Source organism: Homo sapiens, chromosome 4 (assembly GCF_000001405.40).
Source record: "Homo sapiens chromosome 4, GRCh38.p14 Primary Assembly".
NCBI classification, from domain to species: Eukaryota; Metazoa; Chordata; class Mammalia; order Primates; family Hominidae; genus Homo; species Homo sapiens.
Genome location: NC_000004.12, coordinates 62,153,113 through 62,178,617, shown reverse-complemented (window position 1 = coordinate 62,178,617; position 25,505 = coordinate 62,153,113). Strand labels below are relative to the sequence as shown.

The following is a 25,505-nucleotide window of genomic DNA, read 5'->3' as shown; positions in this document are numbered from 1 at the left end:
GCATGGAATGTTCTTCCATTTGTTTGTATCCTCTTTTATTGGTATTTGTAAACCAGACAGGCAAACCAGGCCATCACAGAAATATGTAAACATGTTATCTATTCAAATAAAATCTGTTAAAGTTAAAAAGGAAATACACAGGCACCATGACTCGCACCTGTAATCCCAGGACTGCGGGAGGCTGAGGTCGGTGGATCACTTGAGGTCTGGAGTTCTACACTACCCTGGCCAACATGGTGAAACCCTATCTCTACTAAAAAAAATACAAAAACTTAGCTGGGCATGGTGGCACGCACCTGTAGTCCTAGCTAGTTGGGAGGCTGAGACAGGAGAATCTCTTGAATCTAGGAGGCAGAGATTGCAGTGAGCCAAGATTGCACCACTGCACTCCAGCCTGGGAGACAGAATGAAACTCGGTCTAAAAAAAAAAAAAAAAATTAGTATTAGTATGGCTCTTCTTTATACACACTGTAGAAGACAGAAAAGTCACAGGGCCAAAAATATACTCTGCATCCCATCATCTACATTCTCCAAAAAATTGCCCCCTTTCTTTGGGGATTTTTTAGAAACATATTCCTAGAAATATGTCTGAATTCCAACACTTAGTTTTATATATCAGGATGTTGGAACTATTTTTCCAATTTTTTCAACCATCCCTTAAGATTATGAGCAATTTTATAAAGAAGATAGTTAGATAATAGTACATATTCCCTGTAAAGTGTCACCTGCTACTTTACCTTCCTACACTAACTACCAGTTAATTCAAGTTTTTGATTATCTACTCACTAATGTGGCCAATTTTCTACATAACATATGCTGAAAAGTAGCAAAGAATGCGTTCAATTTGAAATAAAATTAAATTATCTGATATAGTGTGAATTTAGAGATCTCAAAACTACAATTTTTTTTCTATTGGATAGTTATGATCTCTAACGTAAAACTGAATCTCAAAGGCACTGTGGCACTATCAACTTCTCCTACATAGCTTGTAATGAGAAATTGACATTAGGTTGATGGGGATAATAATTCCATTTTTACAGCAATAAAATGTATTCTTTTTCTAGAAAGAAAGCAATTTCTAAAAGCAAAGTAATAATGTAACTATTGATTTACCATCAAAAATGTATGTCTACCTGATAGTTAGTGAAAATAAAATTTAGAGATTTAAAACAACACTGCACAAATTTATAATTATTTTCCTCCTTCATCTCAATAGCTTTTAACTGTGTCTTATCTCTATCCTGAGATTAATTGACATTTTTTACAGTTGGAGAATGACTGATTTTTAAATTTTTTACTGACACTATCTAATACTGCTTTGGTCTTCTAAACTCTACTCTGAACTGCTGCAAAGATACCTTTGTCCTCATAATTCCGTTTACAACCTTCTTCATTACCTGTAACATTTGAATAAGAAATGTTGTCCATGGCCTTATGCTTCTCATGTAGACTTTAAAAATATTCCCAATAAACAAGCTCTTTATTATTATAAATGATAAATTAAAAAGATGAAGAATTAACTGCATTGCTACTCTTTTTCCTCTAGTTTCCTAAGACATCATCACAAGTTGCCTTCCAGAAGAGAAATAAATAAATGGATTATTAAAGTCTCAAGAGAGAATGGAGCTTATTTTCTCCTCTCTTAGCCACTCACTCTCATCATCTTTGTAATTAAATCTTTGCAATTAAATGAATTAAATTAATTCAATGAATTACATTGAATGACAACATGTAATGTTAAAAAGAAAACATATTTGTCATTGTTGCTGTTGTTTTAGAAATTGGTAAGCTAAAATTTACACGAAAAGCCAAAGAACTCAGAACTGAAAAACTAAGTTGGAGGATTTATAGTACCTGATTTCAAAACTTACTAAAAGCCAAAAGTAATCAAAATGTGAGGACTAAGCTCTGATTTTTTTTTATCTTGCCCCAATTCCTAAGGGGTCTGGGGAGTCATGCCCTACAAACCACAAATTCTCATCAGATGCATTTTATTTAACCCTATGTATTGTGACTTATTTTCCAATCTGACTCTGGCATAACATTATGTGACAAAGAAGAAAGTCAAAATATTTTACCCCAAAACATGTTTCTTTGACGTATTTTGAAATGGCCCTGCAAAGCTGTCCTTTGTGGGGGAGAATTTGCATCTGTAAAGAATCTCTATTAACATGGCTAGATATTTTTCTTCCAGACTCTCCCAATCCTAAAGTGATGGACTAAGAGTCTAACACCTTTTAAAGATCTGAATCGGAAACATTTGTCATCTGCTGTCTCTAAGGACAGCCACTATAAGACTTTAAAATAACTTTGGTCTCCACAATCTTTTATCTTAACCTGAACATTTTCTTTCTGTGGATGCCAAGTCTTTAGGCAAACTCAACCAATTGTCAGCCAGAAAATGTTTAAATCTTTACATTTACCTATAGCCAGAAACCCACCTCCCCACCCCCTCAGGCCCCCCACACCCCACACACCCCCACTCCTGCTGCTTTCAGTTGTCCCGCCTTTCTGAACCAAACCAATGTATTTCTTAAATGTATTTGATTGATATCTCATGCCTCCCTAAAATATATAAAACCAAGCTGTACACCCTGACCAACTTGGGCACATGTTCTCAGGACCTCCTGAGGGCTGTGTCACCGGCCATGGTCACTCATATTTGGCTCAGAATAAATCTCTTAAAATATTTTATAGAGTTTGACTCTTTTTGTCAACAACAGCATGGAATGGGCATAAAGACAGAAAAAAAAACATAACAATGAGACAGAATAAAGTCCAGAAATACACTCAAACATGTAAGATCAATTGCTTTTCAACATAAATATTAAGACAATTCAGTGGGAAGTATAGGGGTTGTCCAAGTCAGATGATCCACTGATAAATCCTAGAGAACCAAACAGTGTAACTGTGAACATGTCTAATTTCTCTTAATGCTTCAATTTTCCTATCTGAAAAATAGAAAAATACTAATACATACTTTTCAAGGTTTTTTTTAAAAGAGGCTAATAGTGACATATTTAATTGTTTAGCACACTGGTACATTTGCTATTCATTTAACACATTTATTGATACCTACTATTGATGCCTATGCTTCTCTAGGACCTGAAAATACATTCTTGTGACTAACCCTATAGATAATCCCTGTTAAACTGCAGATACACACCAGAACAAAAAACAAATTCTTAGAACTCCAAATAAATTCTGTGTTAAAAAACTTAAAAGCACAATAATGAAAAGGTAGTTACTTAAGATAGAGGATTCAAGGAAATCCTGTCTAAGGAGGAAAATTTAAACCAGCATCTAAATCACAAAAGGATCGAGATAAGAGAAGATCAAAGAGACATTCATTCCAGGTAGAAGGAACAAGACAAGAGTTATCTTGGTGTGCTTTAGAAACATAAAGAAGCCTAAGTTGATGAAGCAGGGAGAGCAAGTTGGAGAGTGGTAAGAAATAAAAGTCACAGAATAGACAGGGCTATGCAAACCATTATAAGGAATATAGGTTTTATCCTAAATGTAATTGGAACCATTGGAGGGTTTAGTAGAGAAATGACAAATTGGATGCATGTTTTACAAAGGTCACTGTGGCCTCATGGAACATGGATTGTGGTAGGTCAAGAATAGAGACTAGCTGCAGGCTATAAGGTTGTTCAAAAAAGATGTGTGGTGGCCTTTACTTCCTGCTTGTAATGTAGATGATGAACAATTGTGTTGGGCATTCTTGTGGCTAACCCTACAGATAATTCCTGCTCTCTTTTCCCTTGCTATCTCCTCATATAAAGGCTGGAAAAGCTAAACTTTTACTTTTTCTAATTTCCTTAAAGCAAGGAATAGCTATTTGCCGCAGATATGGCCAAAGAGAAACAGCAGCCTGCTGGGGTTTTTTTGAGAAGCTTTTAGCTTCCTGATAAAGGGGATACTCCTTGTTAATGCAGATGTAAAGCTCACAACTGCAGCAGCTCCTCTGCTTATGAGGAAATCTGAAAAGAAAGAAGAATGTCTGAAATAGCCATTTTGTTGATGGAGGAAAATAAAACATACTGGAAAGTGCAGTAGAATTGTTTAAGTAATCAAAAGGGGAAAGGGAAGCAGGTAGAAAATAAGAGATTGGGTGATACGCTGAAGTCATCCTGAAAAAGGGAGTGAAATGAATGGAGGTTTATAGATAACTGCTACAAAGAGATGTTGCAGGAGACAGAGCCTAATTATGACTTTAAAGGTGGGGAAAATTTTGTATGCACAGGGAGGAGAAATATTTTGAAAACAAAAAAAGTATAAAGCAAGGATAATGTCTGTTCTCACCTCAGATATTGTTGTATATGGGGATGTTAGAGAGAAGGAGAGGAAAAGAGAGAAAAAAAAAGATTTCCCTCAAGAAAGTGGCTAGAAAGTTAGGTCAATGAGACATAGCCAGTTTGCATTGGAATAAGAGTGTGAAGGGCAGGCTTAGGGAAGAGGGTCAGAATATAGGGGTTTTTGCTGATGACAGACTATAAGTCCAAGAGGAAAAGATTGATAAAGCAGAGATTAGCAATAGAAAGAAACTGGGCAAGGTTAACGAGTGTGCAGAGAAGTAAGCAGAAGTAAATCAAGGAGTTGATTGATAATCTAGAGTGCTTTGGTTCTAATGGTGCCTGGAATGAACAGGGACAAATGCATTTATTTCTCATATTTAGGAGAAGTGAAAACTCTATCACATGGCACCATGAACAACAACTCTTCTTCCCTATGGGTATCAGTGATGCAGTAGCGTGGAATGAGTCCAGCTTCTCAATGGGCTTACATTATTTATTTATTTAATCAATATCATCAAGTATTCATATTATGTGAAGCTCTTTTAGGTTCATAAAAGAGGATGGAGAAAAGCAAAGTCTCTTCCCTAAAAGAGCTCACAGAACAATGAGGAAGGACTGACAATAAAGACATAAAAAATATAGCAACTATGTTAAGTGATGGTAACTTAATACAAATCAAGCAAGGTAAAGTAGATAGAGAATTTCAGGGAGTTGTGTTGTCTCCTCTCTGAGGTGGTGGTGGTTGAGAATTGGGTGAGGGATAAGCTGTGCAAATGTCTTGGTAAAGAGCACAATGAAAACAGTAAGCGCCAAGGCCCTGAGATGGGAACATGTTTTGCATATTCAAGAAACTGAGGGGCAGTATTAGATCACAAAAATGCCACGGAATCCAGATCATTAGACTGGATGAGAACTTCATATTTTTGCTTTGTGGAGATGGATCACCACTAGAAGGCTTTGTAGGGGAGTGACATAATCTGATGTGTTAAAAAGAACTCCCTGGTTGGATGAGACTAACCTGTAATAAGACAAGGGTGATATGTATGAGGCTACTGCAGAAATCCAAGTAAGAAATGCTGGTGTTTGGATGAGAATGGTTTCAGTGAAAGTGGTAAGAGTTAGTGAGATTTTCTATTGTCTTTCAAAAATAGATATGATAGAATTTGCTATTGATTTGGATGTAGGGTGGGAAACCTTGACTATGTCAAGGTTTTGGGCTGAGCAGTGTGAATAACAGAATTGACTGTTACTGTGAGGGGAGATTGAGGAAGCAGAGGGAAGTAAGTATGAGAAGAGAAATCAGGAACTCAATTTTTGTTGTTATCAATTTGAAAAATCTAAGTGGACATGTTGCATGGAAATTTGACATACATGTCTGGGGTTTGTAGAAATGGTTCAGGCCACAGGCATAAACTTGGAATCATCAGAAATATTGATGTTATTTGAAGCCATGTGTCCTGATGAGATCACTGGAGATGGGTGCCTAGATTGGTAGGATTAAAGCCTTAAGATTAAGCCCTGAGCACTCCAACTTGGAAACATTAGAGAAAGTAGAACCAGCAGAACAGACTGAAAAGTAACAGCCCGTGAGGTAGAGGAGAAACAAGATATAATTCTGTTCTGGAAGTCAGGAGAAGAAAGTGTTTTAAAGAGAAGAGGGTGATCATATATTTCAAATGTAGATGATGGATGAAGTCTGCATCTAATCACATGGAGGTCACTGGTGTTATCCTAAGCTACCAGGAGCACAAAATGCTATGAAGGCATTTTCATTCTAGAGACTGTAGGGTGACTGCTAGGAAACAAGTTGTCTCATATGAAGTAGGAATCCAGGGACCTCCTCTTTCCTAAGTTCATTGGAGCAAGATACCCCATCCTATCCATAATGAAGGGATCATGACCAGTGAAATGATTGGTTTTATACTATGTCCTTGAAATCTCACATTCTAACATCAGACCACTAATTTTACCATGCAGAGTGAGTTCTGCCCCAGCCACACCCTCCCAGGGCTATCCAAAATTCCAGCATCTGTGAAAAACTGATAGAGATTGGATTACATTGACCTTAGAGGCATCTGAATTAAGAGGATACATTGCAGGGAGAGTGGAAGAGTAACATGATTTCAGTTATTGCAGTAAATGAATCATAATCATTCAAGGTACTTTTCATAATTTATACAGGCTTTTTATAATTCAAAAATTAGTTATCTCATTGCTATCAGTTGAAGAGGCTACCTCCCATAAGACTTTTAATTTCCTGAGGGCAGGTTTCATTCATATGTGTATCTTCAAAGGCTAGCATAATGCTTGGCCAATAGGTTTTACGCTTAATAAATGTGTTTTATATACAGTTACCAAAACCCAGCCTCATCTAGTATATGAATACTTGCCCTGTTCTAATGCTTTATGGTTCACTCATGGTTTTATAGGTCTGGGATCCAGACTATCTCCTAATATTTCTAGTTACAGAATCTTACCTTGCTTGTATTGAACCATATCTCCATAATACACTTCCTGTTGTTATCACATTCATTTCCTGTGACCCGTCATTTAGATTAATGTCCTTCAAACACTGTGTCTTTATAAAAATACCACGAAGGAGACAGGGGAAGGCATGTTGATCACATTTGATGCTAGAACATTTAGAAACATCATGTTCAGCCTGGTATTGAAAAGCAAAGGACAGTATATTATTTTCTCTTTGTTTTTTAAGGTTGAGGCCATTTGCTTTCGATTCAAAGGATAAAAGAATTATGCTCTTTATAGGGTTACATGAGAACAGGGAAGGATTAACTATGAAGCTAATTTAGAAGCTTAAACTTCAAGGCCCTCACTAAATCACACCCATGCCAAGGTCCTAGGAGTAGCCCCAGTAGTTGTATGTTTGTAATTTAGTATTTTATTCCTTTTAGAAAGCTTCCACATTTTTATAAGCTTTAGGAACTACAAAATCTGTATGCACCCTGCCTAAAATTCTTTTATTTGATAGATTAAAACAAACCTAACCATACAACACAAAGTACCATTAATTAGTATTTGTTGGATAAATCTACCTCACAATAGAAAGACACTTTATTTTTTTTTTAATTTTTTTTTTGAGACAGCGTCTCGCTCTGTTGCCCAGGCTGGAGTGCAGTGGCCCGATCTTGGCTCACTGCAATCTCCATCTCCCAGGTTCAAGCGATTCTCCTGCCTCAGCCTCCTAAGTAACTAGGATTACAGGCACATGCCACCACGCCTGGCTAATGTTTGTATTTTTAGTAGAGACAGGGTTTTACCATGTTGGTCAGGCTGGTCTCGAACTCCTGACCTCATGATCTGCCTGCCGCGGCCTCCCAAAGGATTACAGGCGTGAGCCACCGTGCCCAGCCCAAAGACACTTTTAAAAAATATGTAATATTTGTTTTGTTGAACATGAAAAATACTATCTTTGTAAGGGTAGCAAAAAAAGAAATGTATTGTGATCAAAATAAAAATCAATGCTGCAGGTTTATTGATAACATTCTAAACATTTTCAAAATTAATTCAGGACTATTGTCCCATTTTAACCTATTAGCTCTCTTTGAATAAGAAACTATGAGCCTCAGTTGTGTGGTAACAGTATATAGGTTTTATGTTATGATATATTAGCCTTCAGTCTTAAAATCTTTGATAATAGATCTTAGGAAGAATATTTAAATTCACATTTTTTATGAGTTCTTAATATTAGTGTTTGTTTATCTCTAAGACTTACCAAATAACTTCTATGAAAATCTGTATCTCTGTCAATGTGCCTGCAAAATATAGTAACTCATTTTATGGGGAACCTTTCATTTTTGAGACAAAAGATTAAGTGAAACTCACATCTGCCTGCTCTGCCGGAAGTGACTTGTCAATCTTCCAGGTGCTCACCAATCCTCCTCTGACCATCCTGTAATTTAAAAGTGGTCACAGGGACTAAGACAGAGCTTCACTAAATATTGCTCAGTTTGTTCAGGGAAGATAAACTAAAATGAGTTTTTGAAAAAAGTGTTTGTGGTTTCTGTGTGTGTTAATTCAATCTGTTTTTCTCCACATTCTCCCAAACTCAAAATAAACAAGTGTAATTCAGTTTCATTCTGACTCCTTTTCCAAATATTGTCTATCTCTGCATTTATTTTTCTTTCTCAATTCCACAGTTGTTGTATGAAGTAGGATTGCAAACTCAAAATGAAGAGAATCTAATTCTTGTTTTGTGTGAAGCTCTTGTGCAGATAAGTAAACCTCCTGTCCACATAGGGAATTAAATGTCTATAAAGCTTGTGCATGATGGAAGCCCTTTCTCTTCCGTTATAGCTTATTGCTTCACCTATTGACTTGAGCATATTAATTCTCATGCATTTAATTTCTTGCACTGATGAGAGAGGGTTGAAAAGCACAAAATTAAAAACTGCATGCACACATAAAGTGTAAGTATGCCAGTCCCTCTTACTCTTTTCTCTCTCTCTTCACCATTTTTTTCAAAGCCTAGGAAACTAGGAAGAGAAAGAACATGTTATTAATAGAAAATACAGCACATCCATGGGCTGTCCCTTTGTCTTCAAAAAATGTGACAGAAGCACGAAGTTCGTTTCCTATTAGTCCCCATAGACCAAAGTGATGACTAGAGACAAATATGTCCCTTGCAAAATACTACAGAGTTTCTGGCTCTCAATTCAACCTTCTTTTTGACTATGAACAAAACTAAGTATTTCTTGGTTATTATACAATTGTGAAAATGTTGAAATTGTAAGTGAAAACTTTTGATCATTTATGAAATATATTACTGACCATTGTCATAGATAACTTTGTACTGCAAATGGCAACATCTATGAATCTCTAATCTTTCCACACCTTTTTCTGCAATGTGTCTCTGTCTTTTCTGCTTTCTGCAAAACCACTTAGAAATTTTAGCTTAGAAAACTAAATTTGCTCAAAGCAGCAAAAAAGATATTGGTAGAGATGGGCTTATAAGAGGTGTCATCCAAGCTATGAAACTTAATAAATAATATCAAAACTAAGTAGGGGAAAAGATTTGAGTCAGCTATCTTGGCAATTTATGCCACATTACCCACAATGCCCAGTACTTGGAATAGTATTTAAGAAGTCATCATGATTACAAAGGAAAGAATACAAAGAAAACTTTAACAACTATTCAATCTAAATCTCAAAATCAAATTTGTGGTAATCACCTATTAAGTTGTGCTGAGAAGTGCTTTTCCATGCTGTTTGTAAATAAATAAAGAAAAGAACATGAAACAAAAGTAATTTTGTCACACAATAAGGGATTGCGTTTTAGTGCAAAAACAGGTCTCTGCAGGGCCATCAGACAGCTTCCTGGAGTGGAATAATTAAGTTTGAGATTGCTGGAGGGAGGGTACTGCAATGGTATTTTAGTTTATAGGCTCAAAACCAAGGGGATCCATTAAAATGAAATAAGTGAAATTGTACTAGCTCCTTGTAGGCCAAGTACCTGAGTGACATCACCATCATCAAGGTAATGTGCTTAAATTATGCCAGACTACATTTAATAACAGCACAATCTCAGACAGTCTTTCTGCCACACAGGGATAAAACAACACTCTAAGGAAAGGGATCTGACAGAAAATGAGCCAGTAAAGGAGAAACAATTAATTAAAGAGTCATTTGGGAGTTGATAAACAGTCATGAGAAAGTCACTAAAATCTGATATTAAATGTGATTTAGCTGAATTAGTTTAGAAGATAATTTCACATTGTGATTTCCAGACAGTCTGACACTAAAAGTCAGAGTTTTCTCATCTCCAATGGGAGATAGGGGACACAGCAATATGGCATGATAAGTATTGACCCCAGATGACAAACTCTTAGTAACATAAGCAATACTCAGATTTTTCTGAGAATCACTAAGTTTCAAATGAGCTATACTATTATATAACCTAAATAGTATCGAACACACACGACGTATTAAGCAGGCATGATTTAGTTCTTTTAATAGTGGAAATGATGGAGATTAAAATGCTTCAGCTGAAAACTAGGTACTGTTACAGTCCACCCATCTATTATCTATGGCACTGAGAAAAAAAAGGAATATTTCATTTAAAAAAAGATTAATTCGAGATGGATTCAAGACTTAAATGTTAGACGTAAAACCATAAAAACCCTAGAAGAAAACCTAGGCAATACCATTCAGGACATAGGCATGGGCAGGGACTTCATGTCTAAAACACCAAAAGCAATGGCAACAAAAGCCAAAATTGACAAATGGGATCTAATTAAACTAAAGAGCTTCTGCACAGCAAAAGAAACTACCATCAGAGTGAACAGGCAACCTACAGAATGGGAGAAAATTTTTGCAATCTACTCATCTGACAAAGGGCTAATATCCAGAATCTACAATAAACTGCAATAAATTTACAAGAAAAAAACAAACAACCCCATCAACAAGTGGGCGAAGGATATGAACAGACACTTCTCAAAAGAAGACATTTATGCAGCCAACAGACACATGAAAAAATGCTCATCATCACTGGCCATCAGAGAAATGCAAATCAAAACCACAGTGAGATACCATTTCACACCAGTTAGAATGGCAATCATTAAAAAGTCAGGAAACAACAGGATGTGGAGAAATAGGAACACTTTTACACTGTTGGTAGGACTGTAAACTAGTTCAACCACTGTGGAAGTCAGTGTGGTGATTCCTCAGGGATCTAGAACTAGAAATACCATTTGACCCAGCCATCCCACCACTGGGTATATATAAATCATGCTGCTATAAAGGCACATGCACACATATGTTTATTGCGGCACTATTCACAATAGCAAAGACTTGGAACCAAGCCAAAAGTCCAACAATGATAGACTGGATTAAGAAAATGTGGCACATATGCACCATGGAATACTATGCAGCCATAAAAAATGATGAGTTCACGTCCTTTGTAGGGACACAGATGAAGCTGGAAACCATCATTCTCAGCAAACTATTGCAAGGACAAAAAACAAAACACCACATGTTCTCACTCATAGGTGGGAATTTAACAATGAGAACACATGGACACAGGAAGGGGAACATCACACACCGGGGCCTGTTGTGGGTGGGGGGAGGGGGGAGGGATAGCATTAGGGATACCTAATGTTAAATGACGGGTTAATGGGTGCAGCACACCAACATGGCACATGTATACATGTGTAACAAACCTGCATGTTGTGCACATGTACCCTAAAACTTAAAGTATAATAAAATAAAAAATTAAAAAAAGAAACAAACAAAAAAAAGAATTATTGTATTAGGGTTCTCTAGAGGGACAGAACTATTAACAGAACAATTAATAGAATTGATGTATATATAAAGGGGAGTTTATTAAAGAGTATTAATTCCCACGATCACAAGGTCCCACAGTAAGCCATCTCCAAGCTGAAGAGCAAGGAAGCCAGTCCAAGTCCCAAAGCTGAAGAACTTGGAGTCCGATGTTTGAGGGCAAGAAGCATCCAGCACCAGAGAAAGATGTAGGCTGGGAGGCTAGGCCAGTGTAGTCTTTTCATGATCTTCTGTCTGCTTTTATTCTAGCTGTGTTGGCCGATGATTAGATTGTGCCCACCCAGATTAAGGGTGAGTCTGCCTTTCCCAGTCCACTGACTCAAATGTTAATCTCCTTTGTCAATACCCTTACAGACACACCCAGGAACAATACTATGCATCCTTCAGTCCAATCAAGTTGACACTCAGTATTAACCATCACAAGTTCACCCCTTGTCAACTTGAATTCATACACATTTCCTGAAATCATATGTAATCTTCAAATAAAGACAATAATAAGGTCATAATTACACCTAACAAAATACAACCAGAAATGCACCAATCCACAACCCAAATGCTATTACACAAAATTAACAACACTTAAACGCTGATATGAAGTCAATAAATCTTATGTCACATGATAAAGGAAAAAAGGAAATAAAATGAAGAAATTTTCTAGTACAAGTGTATACATGCACAAACATGTTTTTAACAAAAGAATAAGGAAATACTCATGACAATTACAGTCCTCATTTCTGCAACTGGTCATGTGTTCGTAGCTGGTATTAGTGACTATCTTCTTCTACTACCCATTCTGTATTCCCTCTGCCTTCAGCAAGCACCTCAGTAGGTCATGGGGTTTTTTTCCTGATGGAGTGACCGAAATCTTCATTTTTGACAGATCTGGGCCATTTTGTAGTCCTGCTTGGACTGGGCTGTTGTAGCTTCCCATTGACCTTAATCACAGGGCATGGTGATTCTAAGAGACGCCCTAATGGATCTCCTGTATTCTATGCATACTCTTACTTACCTCCATTGTGGAGTAGTATACTGATTTCATCTTGATAGTCCAGGTCAATCACCCCAGTCAACACAGTTACCCCCTCTTAGCCTGTTGACTTTAAGGTAGGAGGAGCCCAAAGTGTCCAGGTGGCAATCTTAACTCCCAGTTTAATGAAATCGTTATTGTGTCTCCAGGTGGCAGCATTCCTCCCTCTGGAACTAAGACCTCTAGGCCAGCAGAACATAATGTCACAGGAACAGGAAGCAAAAATTTTGCTAGTGGGTCACTAGGGGTGATGGTGAGTGGTGCCACTTCCACTTCCACCCCTTGATTTCTGGACCTGTGAATCCTGGCTATGGGAGAAACAGCACCATGTGTTGGACACTGCTTCAGAGCATACACGACATTCTGGAGAACTTTGCCCCAGCTCTGCAAAGTATTGTTACCTAGCTGGCATTATCATTGTGACTTCAAAAGGCCATTCCACAGTTCTATCAATCCAGCTTCTTCAGGATGATGGGGAACATGGTAAGATGAATTCTATGAGCATGAGCCCAGTGTGTTTGCTACTTATGACTCACTGGATCCAATCAGCATAATGTCATAATGTTGTCAATGAAAAGAGTTGAACTCTGTAAAATATTTGAAGAGATTTATTCTGAGCCAAATACGAGTGGCCATGGCTCATGATACAGCACTCAGGAGGTCCTGAGAACATGTTACCAAGGTGGTCGGGGCACAGCTTGGTTTCATACATTTAACAGAGGCATGAGACATCAATCAAACACATTTAAGAAATACATTGGTTTGGTCCAGAAAGGCAAGACAAATCAAAGTGGGGGCTTCCAGGCTATAGGTGAATTTAAATATTTTCTGCTGGACAATTGGTTGTTTGTGTCTAAAGACCTGGGATTGATAGAAAGGGAATGTTCAGGTTAAGATAAAAGATTGTGGAGACTAAGGTTATTTTGAAGCCTTATACTGGCTGCCCTTCGAGACAACAGATGACAAATGTTTCCTATTCAGATTTTAGTTAATTTCTTTAGGATTGAGAGAGTCTGGAAGAAAAAAATCTAGCTATGTTAATAGAGATTCTTTACATATGCAAATTTCCCCCAACAAAGAACAGCTTTCCAGGGCTACTTCAAAATATATCAAAGAAATGTGTTTTGGGGGTAAAATATTTTGATTTTCTTCTTTGTCTAGTAATGTTATGCCAGAGTCAGGTTGGAAAGTTACGATATATAGGGTTAAATAAAACCCATCTGATGAGAATGTATGATTTGTAGGGCATGACTCACCAGATAGCTTAGATAGGAATTTGGGCAAGTTAAAAAAAAATCAGAGTTTAGTCCTCAATGTAATGGACCAGTGTGATATCTTGTGGAAGGGCAAATAGATCAAGGTCTCTCTGAACAAGACTATGACACAAAGCCAAAGAGTTGATATACCCCTGAGGCAGGACAGCAAAGCTATATTGCTGGCCTTGCCAGCTGAAGGCAAACTGCTTCTGGTGAGCCTTACAGACAGGAATGGAGAAAAAGGCATTTGACAAATAAAGGGCTGCATATCAGGTACCAAGAAATGTGTTAATTTGCTTAAGCAATGAAACCACATCTGGTACAGCAGCTGCAACTGGAGTCACCACTTGGTTAAGCTTACAATAATACACTGTCATTCTCCAAGATCCATGTCTTCAGCACAGGAAAAATAGGAGAGTTGAATGGGGATGTGGTGGGGTTCACCACCCCTGTGTCTTTCAAGTCCTTGATGGTGTCACTAATCTCCACAATCCCTCCAAGGATGCGATATTGTTTTTGATTTACTATTTTTCTAGGTAGAGGCAGCTCTAATGGCTTCCATTTGGCCTTTCCCACCATAATAGCCCTCACCCTACAAGTCAGGGAGCTAATGTGGGGGTTCTGCCAGCTGCTAAGTATGTCTATGTCAAGTTTGCATTCTGGCACAGGGGAAATAACCACAGGATGAGTCCCAGAACCCACTGGGCCCACTGTAAGTTCAACCTGAGCTAGAACTCCATTAATCACCTGACCTCCGTAACCCCCTACCTTAACTGGAGGACCACAGTGATGTTTTGGGTCCCCTGGAATCAATGTCTGCTCAGAGCCAGTGTCCAATAATCCCTGAAATGTCTGAATATTTCCTTTCCCCCATGCACAGTTACCCTGGTGAAAGGCCAAAGGTCCCTTTGGGGAAGGATGGGAGAAAGATTAACAGCATAAATTGTTGGTAGTGTAGTGGGGTCCTTCCTCAAGGGGACCTGGCCTCCCCTTCATGCAAAGGGTTCTGTAAACTGGCTCTAGTCTGAAAATTAATTGAGGGGCCATGATGCTCTGTTTTTATAATTCAAATTAGTCTTTTGTCCATTCGGCCTGGAAGTTTTCTGCTTATTTAAATTAAGTAGGAATGCAGTAAGTTTCCTATCAATTTCACTTCTAGGATCACTGTGATTAACTAGCCAATGCCAGAGCTCTACACAAATCAATCTATCCCGATTGCTGCTTTGCCTCTGTTGTCCATGATGGTAGCTATGCCCACTGTGCCTTTGATGGATGAGTGCCACCACTTGGCTCCTGCCACCTTGGGTTCCAATTATCCCCATTGCATTTAAATTTTGTTGTTGAGTGACTATGGTTCCCACTGTTAGATATGGTATCCGGAGAAAAGCAACAGATACAGAACTCTTCAAAGACGCAGGTGCTGCCTTCACAAATCTGTTTTCCAAAGCATTGGTAAAAGGTACATCTTCTGGACTTTCCCAGCTGGGATGAGTAGGCCTAAAGTGACTAATCCACTCCAGCATCCCAATCTCCCTAAGCCTTTGAATCCCTTTCTCTACATTAAACCAAGGGAGGAAATCAGGCATTTCCAGTTCTCTCACAGTGAGCCATCTTTTAATCCATATTTCAGCTAATGAAGCAAATTAACCATTAGAACCTTTATTAACTCCCTGAGCTGCAACATTAATTGCAGAGTCCCTACTTAATGGGCCCAAATCAATAAATTCAGCCCGATCCAACTGTATGTTCCTTCTACCATTTCTCATATCCTTAATATTCATTCCCATATCTGTTCTCCAGATTTCTATTTATATAGATTGGAAAACTCAAGGAGTTCTTTTCGAGTGTAGTGCACCTCCTTGTGGGTCACACTCTGAACTTCACCTCTAGGGGCCTGCCAAAACTTTAGTTATAAGTCTAGAAGCAAGCAGGGGTGTTGGGGGGAGGGGGGCTCCTGAGGAGAATCAACATTATCTTGCCTAGCAACTGCCTCAGGGGAGGCCATCACTCTTGCCTCAGGCAGAGCAGGGTTCATCTCCTCAGACAAAGATGGAAAGGCTAATAGCAGCATGGGTTGGGGAGGGGATGTTACCACTACTGGGGATGGGGAAGCTGTTCCTTCTGGCAGAAAAGGTTCATCAGAGTTTACAAGCTCAATGTCCCCAGCTTCATCAAAGTCCTCTCACATATCCCCATTCCAAGTTGCAAGGTCCCATTGTTTTCCAATCAATGCTCTCACTTTAATAGTAGACACCTGGCGAGGCTGTGCGTGCACCTTTTGTTGCAGGTCAACCACTCACATGGTAATAGCCTGTGTCTGATTTTCCACAATTTCAGCTCTTTCTCTGCAGGAGATAAGACTCACTCAGGGCAATCTTAGCAGATTTGAGGCTCAGTATCTGCTTCTGAAGCCAGGAGTTAGTTAGAATCCCTGAGTTCGTTTTTTTTCATCACTCTGTCCAGTGAACTTAGGAGCAACCAACCAACTTCATTATGTTCCTTGGTTCTCCACATATGGTCAAAGGTATTAGGTATTGAGTCACTAAACTCCTTGCCTTTCATGAGCGGTGAATCAAGAGTATCAAATGCATTTATTTTGCATAATAACTCTCTAAATTGTTCACACCAAGGACTGTCTGTTCTCCATACTATTAGAATTAGAGTCCTTAGCATTTTTATGGCTAATCACTTTAAGAAGCCAACTCCAGAAACCTGAAAACCAACAAAAGAACTCCATTTTTAATATTCTTTTCCTCTAGAACCACTCCTGGTACCAAAATCTGTATTAGTCACAGTTCTCTAGAGGGACAGAACTAATAGGATTGATGTATGTATAAAGGTGAGTTTATTAAGGCATATTAACTCACACGATCACAGGGTCCCACAATAGGCCATCTGTAAGCCGAGGAGCAAGGAAGCCAGTTGAAGTCCCAAAGCTGAAGAGCTTGGAGTCCAATGTTTGAGGGCATGGAACATCCAGCACTGGAGAAAGAGGTAGGCGGAGAGGCTAAGCCAGTCTAGTCTTCATGTTATTCTGCCTGCTTTTTATTCTGGCCATGCTGGCAGCTGATTAGATTGTGCTCACCAAGATTAAGTATGGGTTTACCTTTCCCAGTCAACTGACTCAAATGTTAATCTCCATTGGCAACACCCTCCAGACACACCCAGGCATAATACTTTGCATCCTCTAATCCAATCAAGTTGACATTCAGTATTAATCACCACAATTATCAATCATAGTATTTACTGCTTGGATTCTGTTAAGCAGTGTAACTCATATGATAATCAGACTGGTCTTCAGATATGAATAAAGTACAACCTTTTTTTTTTTCTCTCCCACTTAGGGGATGGTAGGTTAGGAAAAGACATACAGGCCATCTTCCCCATCCCTGAATAGAAGCTCAGGTAGGTCCCAAGGTTTTTTTTTTTTTTTTTTTTTTTTGCACATTCTTAGGGAATATATCACAATATGATCACTTTAGTTTGCAAATGCCTTTCAGTCCAGTAATTAGAATGTCCATTACAAGATAGATACTCAAAATATTCCAATCTTGATGTAGCCTTAAATCTCTTTTTTCCCCAATTAGATGCTTGAGGAAAATGGGCTAAGGTGGTATCTGGTGCCTCTACTATCTACTCTCTGCAGTTCCCTTTCTTCCTGCACTTGCAAGCTGCTGTTTGGCTCTGTGCCACATTTACTTTGGGTGGCTTTGTGCTATCTGGACAGAGTAGATCAGTGAAGCTGGTATTCTTCATAAACTTGGCAGATGATTAAAATCTACTCTCTCTGTCTCATGATTTTGATTATAGGAGCCTGGGAATAGTTCCCTGCTCCTCCTCTTGTCTGAAATTCCCTTGTCTTGGGCGTATCAGTGTCTATATGTGGATTCTTCTGACCCTTCCCTTGTCCAAGGGCATCCCGCAATACACTTGCAGCCCTTATCCCTCCTGAGATCCCAAATGGACAGGCCCAAGAGGATCCTGTACCACATAGCCCACATCCAATTCACCAGAAACAATCAGGACACACATCCGGTGTCCTGACAAGCTAGGAGAAAGTGAACCAATCTCAACATAGCAGCATCTCCCGGCTCAGCCACCAGCACTGTTAGTCAGACCCTCTCTCTTCTCCTGGACCTCCTGGGAAGAAAAGACCTCAGAACACTAACTGCTTTAGCTTCCTTTGTTGGGATCAGGCACTTATCCTCAAGGTTTTTTGACTATTTCAAAGATCTTCAATTGGATGCCTAGAAGCCCACCCTCTTCAATATTGGGACTGGAAAGTAAACCCCTGCCTAATGCCTCTCCCCCAAAAGAGGATGGAACAGCCTGCATGTGAAGTGCACTCTCCAAAGCAATAGTTTTAATAACCCCTTTCTTAAAACCTTCTCTTGAGACCATGACTCTCTTGCGTATTTCCTAAGTACGTGAAAGAGTTCCGGAATTAAGAGTTTCAACCAGTGTCTTTTAAAATCTCCATATGTCAATTTTTCTCACGGGATCTTTGGTGTCTGATAACAACAAAATGGAGTCTAAGTTGAAACTGAAGCAGGAAGAATCCCATTCAATCACGCACTCTACAGTCATAAATGCCATGTTATCTTTGACTAGAGATAAGCTTATTGAGCTTACTAAATTAAATCATTGGAATGCACAAATGAAATATATGGCTTTCACAAATGTCACTTGGGTAGAGTTGAATGCCTTGGAAATGAAGTGAAACTAGTCTTTATTTGAGCAAAGCCTGTCAAAACCAATAGTGTTCCTGGATTGTAAAGACCAAAATAACGTATCGCCACTATTTGTTAAAGGGCAGGATAATTCACTTAAAAGAGAGGAGAAATTAGATCTTTGCCTGCAAAAAAGCAGAAAGCTGAAATTTCAGGGGATCTTAAGCTTTGAGGGGGTCATGGATAATCATATTTTAGAACTGGATCATACCAAATGGGCCACTTCCCCCCAAAGTATCATGCAGGTGTGCACACACATGCACACACACACAAACATGGGGACTAATGCTTAAATTATTGCCTGCAATTTCAGAACTTCACAGATATCCTGAAGCTATGAACTCTAAAGCACCCCTCAGGGACATGACAGTCACAGGTTTCTTCGAGCCAGCTTTCTACCTTGAGGAGAAATTTCTGTGTTATAAAATACTGAGGTCACATCCTCTGCCAGACAAACTTCATTAGTGGAGCCCCTTAGTAGTGTTAAAAATAGAAATGTTTCTCACTGACCATATAAAGAGATTCCTTCTGGATTGTACTGCTGTCTATATACAGTGTCAATCTGGGTTTTATTTCAACCTCCAAGTTTAGTTTAGTTTAGTTTATATATATACAAAACTTTACAGAAAAAATACAGAAAAATGAAAATACAAAATAGGGAGAAAAAGTTACAGAAATGCCTACCCTACACATTACTTTTGTTGCTCAATTCAATAAATGTATTGAAATTTTAAAATGTACATTTTAAAGAAGAAAATGTAAATTAACTTTTTCTATTATTGCTGAATAATGGGGGAAACTGAGTATAATTCCTGTCCTCCATTTTCTATTTCTCACAACAGCCACACTGTTCCTTGACTATATCAGTGCTCACTACATTTGCAGATTAAGCATGGAAATTTCAGTAGAAATTACTATCTCACTTGCTTACTTCTCAGTTGTAATTAAAGGGAATTAAAGAAATGAGCATTAGGATGATTGATCTGTGGACAAAAGAAAGTAAATTGCCGAAAGGAGAAAGATCAGATAATTAACTTTCTTTAATTTTATGCCACTTTTTACCTCTTTGCAAAATTTTTATGTCAAATGACACTTAATTATCTTGCATAATAAAAATTTTCTTCAGAACTTATGCACATGCATATATATGTATATATACACACATATGTATGATAGTACTTGATATCACTATATTAAGCACCTATGAGGATCTCATTAATATTTTCATTTTACTAGCATGTGCTAATTAGAAATTCAATTAGAAAGATAAAACATTTGAAAATTAGATGATGCATTCTCTTTATAATGATGAAAATGCTTTACCAGTTAACAGTGAGTTGATCCAATTTATTAGTTTAAATTTTAAAATCTCCTCAGTCTCATAAATATTTTAATCATGGCAAAACAATAATTTTGAATATATCTACAAATAACCATACACAATATTTAGGGGGCTATACTTCTTTCATATTAAATCTAGACTTGAAAACTGTACCTACTCAGGAAACCATCAAATGAATAGGTCCTCTGGCAGTCAGTCTCAGGTTGAAGTTTTTACTATGCTACAAGTAAAACCAGATTACTTTAGGCCCCTGGTGACTAAGAGAATATTATAGCCTGAGAACCATAACATGTTAAAGAATATGGCCAAGGGATAGGTGAAGACTGATATATGTGTGTATATATATACATTAGAATATTGATGACCTCTGAGATTTTGTAGACCTCTGACAGTGGATATAGAGCAGTGCTATCAAAACAATTTTCCATTTTTATAAAAAGTACTTTGTAATAAATGCTTTACCACCTGAAATGAAGACCATGGATATAAAGATCTTCCCACAAATAGCTTTTTGAAAAAGTCTATATAATGCCTTATCTGAAATTTAAGTATAAATAACAAGAAAGCAGTTCATTAAGAAGAAATCTGAAGTTCATTATGTATATTCAGGCATGACTACATGAGAAGATTGTATGAAATAGTCAGATGCTGACCTCTATCTGTATAATCACATGAGTTAAAAACTACAAATGCTGCCTGACTTAAGTGTGAAGTGTTATGGACTCAAATTCTATCAGCAACTTGCTATCGCTGAAATGATTTTCTGAAAGGGTGGCTGAATCTAGATAATGATGGAAAACAATAAACAAAATAAAGTGCAATAGTTACTCAATATAAATAGCAATTGTATTTCTGGAAAATATGCAAAATACTTTACTCTTCTGTCTGTCTATCTAAGCTCTATATAAAGCAGAATTTGGATTATGCTCAAGTTAATATGAACAGTTTCTGCGTTAATACCTTATGTATCATTTGAAAATCATGGGAGACAAAGGACAATTGCATATATCACATTTCTGATCCCTACTTACTAAAATGGCTAGTAGCACCCACTCCCAAACATTATGACAAGGGAAAAATGCCCTCATATGTTATCTACCTGCCCATAAAGAGTGGATATATGGACATTTAAATGTGGAATGGACATTAAAACATCTCTCAGAGCTTAGAAACTCGCTTCAAGAAGGCCTAAAATTCAACGACTCAGGTTGGTATTACCACTCTCAAACTGGTCACAGTCCCCATTCAAAATAATTACTTCCTGCATTTACTTTTCCTTCTAGCTCCTGAAATCGTTTGGGTAAGCAATTGCTGATTTTAGTCAAATTCCCTCACCTCACAAAAAGGTAAGTTGAACAGTTGAGTTGAATGTCAAATATATAGTGAAATCAAATCTTGCTAAGTGCTTTTTCACTCTAAAGTTCCAAACCCACAAACTCATCTGATGCTAGTGGAGGGATTTTGTGTTAAGCATGTATAGCTAGTGGTTAAGGGAAATGTAATCCAGTGCCCAAGAATCAGTAACCCTGGCCCAAATTTGAGGACAATGAGGCATTAACTACCTAACGTTTTAAAGAAAGCTGGTTAACAGTTAAGGCAAGCATTGCATTCCCCCACACTTACTCCTGAATTTATGGGATTGGAGAACCAGCATTAACTCTACCACCAGCTACAATGCCACTTTCCTTCCCAATCCAGGAAAGAAGGTGAGTCAGTATGGAATTAAGGAGATAAAGATATCAGGTTGTTGTTCTTGTAGAAACTATAAGCTCTTAGAGAAAAATTATTAACTCCCATCCCCAAAGGGACAGGGGAGCTGCTTCTCAAAAAATTGGAAAACATATGACACTTTTAGAAATGGATTTCTGACAAGAAGAAAGCCTGGCATACCATCCTCCTAGTTAGTTGTCTGTTAGACAGTAGATCTCCTAGAGCAGAGCAAGAAAACTGGAGACAGCTACAGAAGTGAAGGGAATAGAGCAACCTGTTTTTTACATCTGGCACTTTGAGAATTTCTGAGTTTCTCAAAGATCAGTGGGATGCCACCAAAGGACTAAACTTTCTTGCCAGAACTGCACACCATATATTAAAATTTACCTCAAGACAAGAGGATGACATCCGCATGAGCTTTGGATATACTCCAAGTTACAGGAATGAAGAGGAAGGGAAAGTTAAGTTTAAGGGTGACCTTCCAGACCTGGGAAATGCAGTAGAGAAACTCTCTAGGATTCTCTTAAGAACTCACACATGCAAGCCAACAGAGCAAACATTTGGATGGCTGCCATGGAGGCATCATGAGTCTGTATTAGTTTCCCAAGGCTGCCATAATAAATTAGCACAAATTAAGTGATGTAAACTAGGAGATATGTATTATCTAACATTTCTGGAGTGCAGAAGTCCAAAATCAAGGTGTTGGAAGTGTTGCTTCCTTGTGGAGGCTCTGAGGGAGAATTTATTCTACATCTCTTATGTACTTTTGGTGTCTGCCAGTAATTTTAATGTTTCTTTGCTCATAGATGCAGAATTTCAATCTTTCTATATCTTCACATGGCCTTTCTTCCTGTGTGTCTCTCTGTGGCTTATTTATTTATTTATTCATTGAGACAGACTCTCACTCTGTCACCCAGGCTGGAGTGCAGTGACGTGAACTCGGCTTACTGTAACCTCTGCCCCCACCAGGTTCAAGCAATTCTCGTACCTCAGCCTCCCAAGTAGCTGGGATTACAGGTATGCACAACCACGCCCAGCTAATTTTTGTATTTTTGGTGGAGATGGGAGTTTCGTCATGTTGGCCAGGCTGGTTTTGAACTTCTGACCTCAAGTGATACACCTGCCTTGGCCTCCCAAAGTACTGGGATTACAGGCGTGAACCACTGCACTTGGCCTGTGGCTTCTGTTTTTATTTTTTAAATTTTTTCTGTTTAATTTAATTTAACTAAAAAAATTCTTTTTCTATAGGTTGTTGGGGGACAGGTAGTGTTTGGTTACATGAGTAAGTTCTTTAGTGGTGATTTGTGAGACTTTGGTGCATCCATCACCCGGGCAGTATACACTACACCATGTTTGTAGTCTTTTATCCCTCACCCCCTTCCACCTTTCCCCCTGAGTCCCCAAAGTCCATTGTGTCCTTCTTGTGCATTTGCATCCTCTTAGCTTAGCTCCCACATATCAGTGAGAACATACAGTGTTTGGTTTTCTGTTCCTGAGTTACTTCACTTAGAATAATAGTCTCCAATCTCTTGCAGGTTGCTGTGAATGCCATTAATTCAGTCCTTTTTATGGCTGAGTAGTATTCCATTGTGTGTGTGTGTGTGTGTGTGTGTGTGTGTGTGTGTGTATTTATATGTCTCACAGTTTCTTTATCCACTGGTTGATCGATGGGCATTTGGGCTGGTGTCAGGTTTTGCAATTGCGAATTGTGCTGCTATAAACATCCATATGCAAGTATCTTTTTCATATAATGACTTCTTTTCCTCTGGGTAGATACCCAGTAGGGGGATTGCTGGATCAAATGGTGGTTCTACTTTTAGTTCTTTAAGGAATCTCCACATTGTTTTCCATAGTGGTTGTATAGTTTACATTCCTACCAGCAGTGTACAAGTGTTCCCACATCACCACATCCATGCCAACATCTACTATTTTTTGATTATGGCCATTCTTGCAGGAGTGAGGTGGTATCGCATTGTTGTTTTGATTCGCATTTCCCTGATCACTAGTGATGTTGAGCATTTTTTAATATGTTTTCTGGCCATTTGTATATCTTCTTTTGAGAATTTTCCATTCATGTCCTTAGCCCACTTCTTGATGAGATTGTTTGTTTTTTTATTCTTATGGATTTGTTTGAGTTCACTGTAGATTCTGGATATTAGTCGTCTGTCAGATGTACAGATTGTGAAAATTTTTTCTCACTCTGTGGGTTGTCTGTTTGCACTGCTGACTGTTTCTTTTGCTGTGCAAAAGCTCTTTAGTTTAATTAAGTCCCAGCAATTTATCTTTGTTTTTACTGCATTTGCTTTGGGATTCTTGGTCATGAAATCCTTGCCTAAGTCAACGTCTAGAAGGATTTTTCCAATGTTATCTTCTATAATTTTTATAGTTTCAGGTCTTAGATTTAAGTCCTTAACCCATCCTGAGTTGATTTTTGTATAAGGTGAGAGATGAGGATCGAGTTTCATTCTCCTACATGTGGCTAGCCAATTATCCCAGCACCATTTGTTGAAAAGGGTATCCTTTCCCCATTTTATGTTTTTGTTTGCTCTGTTGAAGATCAGTTGGCTGTAAGTATTTGGCTTTATTTCTAGGTTCTCCATTCTGTTCCATTGGTCTATGTGCCTAGTTTTATACCAGTACCATGCTGTTTCGGTGATCATGGCCTTACAGTATAGTTTGAAATCAGGTAATGTGATGCCTCCAGATTTGTTCTTTTTGCTTAGCCATGCTTTGGCTATGAGAGCTCTTTTTTGGTTCCTTGTGAATTTTAGATTTTTTTCTAATTCCATGAAAAATGATGGTTGTATTTGGATGGGAATTGTGTTGGATTTCTAGATTGCTTTTGGCAGTAGGGTCATTTTCACAATATTGATTTTACTTATCTATGAGCATGGAATGCGTTTCCATTTGTTTGTATCATCTATGGTTTATTTCAGCAGTGTTTTGTAGTTTTCCTTGTAGAGGACTTTTACTTCCTTTGTTAGGTGTATTCCTAAGTTTGTTGTTGTTGTTGTTGTTGTTGTATTTTTTGCAGCTATTGTAAAAGGGGCTCTTGATTTCTTGATTTGAACAGTGTGGAGATTTCTTGAGTTCTTGATTTGATTCTCAGCTTGGTCACTGTTGGTGTATTGATGAGCTGCTGATTTGTGTGCATTAATCTTGTATCCAGAAACTTTGCTGAATTTTTTTTATCAGTTCTAGGGGTTTTCTGGAGGAGTCCTTAGGGTTTTCTAGGTAAACAATCATATCATCAGCAAATAGCGACAGTTTGACTTCCTCTTTGCCAGTTTGGATGCCCTTTATTTCTTTCTCTTGTCTGCGCTCTAGCTAGGACTTCTAGTAATATGTTGAAGAGGAGTGGTGAGAGTGGGCATCCTTGTCTTGTTCCAATTCTCAGAGGGAATGCTTCAATCTTTTCCCCATTCAGTATTATGTTGGCTGTGGGTTTGTCATAGAGGGCTTTTATTATTCTGAGATATGTCACTTGTATGCCAATTTTGCTGAGAGCTTTCATCATAAAGAGATGCTGGATTTTGTAAAATGCTTTTTCTGCATCTATTGAGATGATCAAGTGATTTTTGTTTTTAATTCTGTTTATGTGGTGTATCACATTTACTAACTTGCATATGTTAAACCATCCCTGCATCCCTGGTATAAAACGCACTTGATCATGTTAGATTATCATTTTGATATGTTGTTGGATTTGATTAGATAGTATTTTGTTAAGGATTTTAGCATCTATGTTCATCAGAGATATCAGTCCATAGTTTTCTTTTTTGATTATGTCCTTTTCTGATTTTTGTACTAGGGTGATACTGGCTTCACAGAATAACTTATGGAGAGTTG

At 38.1% G+C, this 25,505-nt stretch overlaps 2 long non-coding RNA genes across 2 annotated transcripts in view; one reads left to right on the top strand and one right to left on the bottom strand.

Annotated features, from left to right (window-relative positions):
- The window catches only part of LOC101927145 (uncharacterized), an 87,617-nt gene that overhangs the window by 42,767 nt on the left and 19,345 nt on the right, over positions 1-25,505 (bottom strand). The gene's annotated exons all lie outside the window — the stretch shown is intronic.
- Positions 16,853-25,505, top strand: part of ADGRL3-AS1 (ADGRL3 antisense RNA 1) — a 90,011-nt gene continuing 81,358 nt past the window's right edge. The window contains exons 1-2 of the long non-coding RNA NR_110595.1: positions 16,853-16,871; positions 21,233-21,295. This is a non-coding gene — a long non-coding RNA (ADGRL3 antisense RNA 1). The remainder of the gene's footprint in view (positions 16,872-21,232; positions 21,296-25,505) is intronic.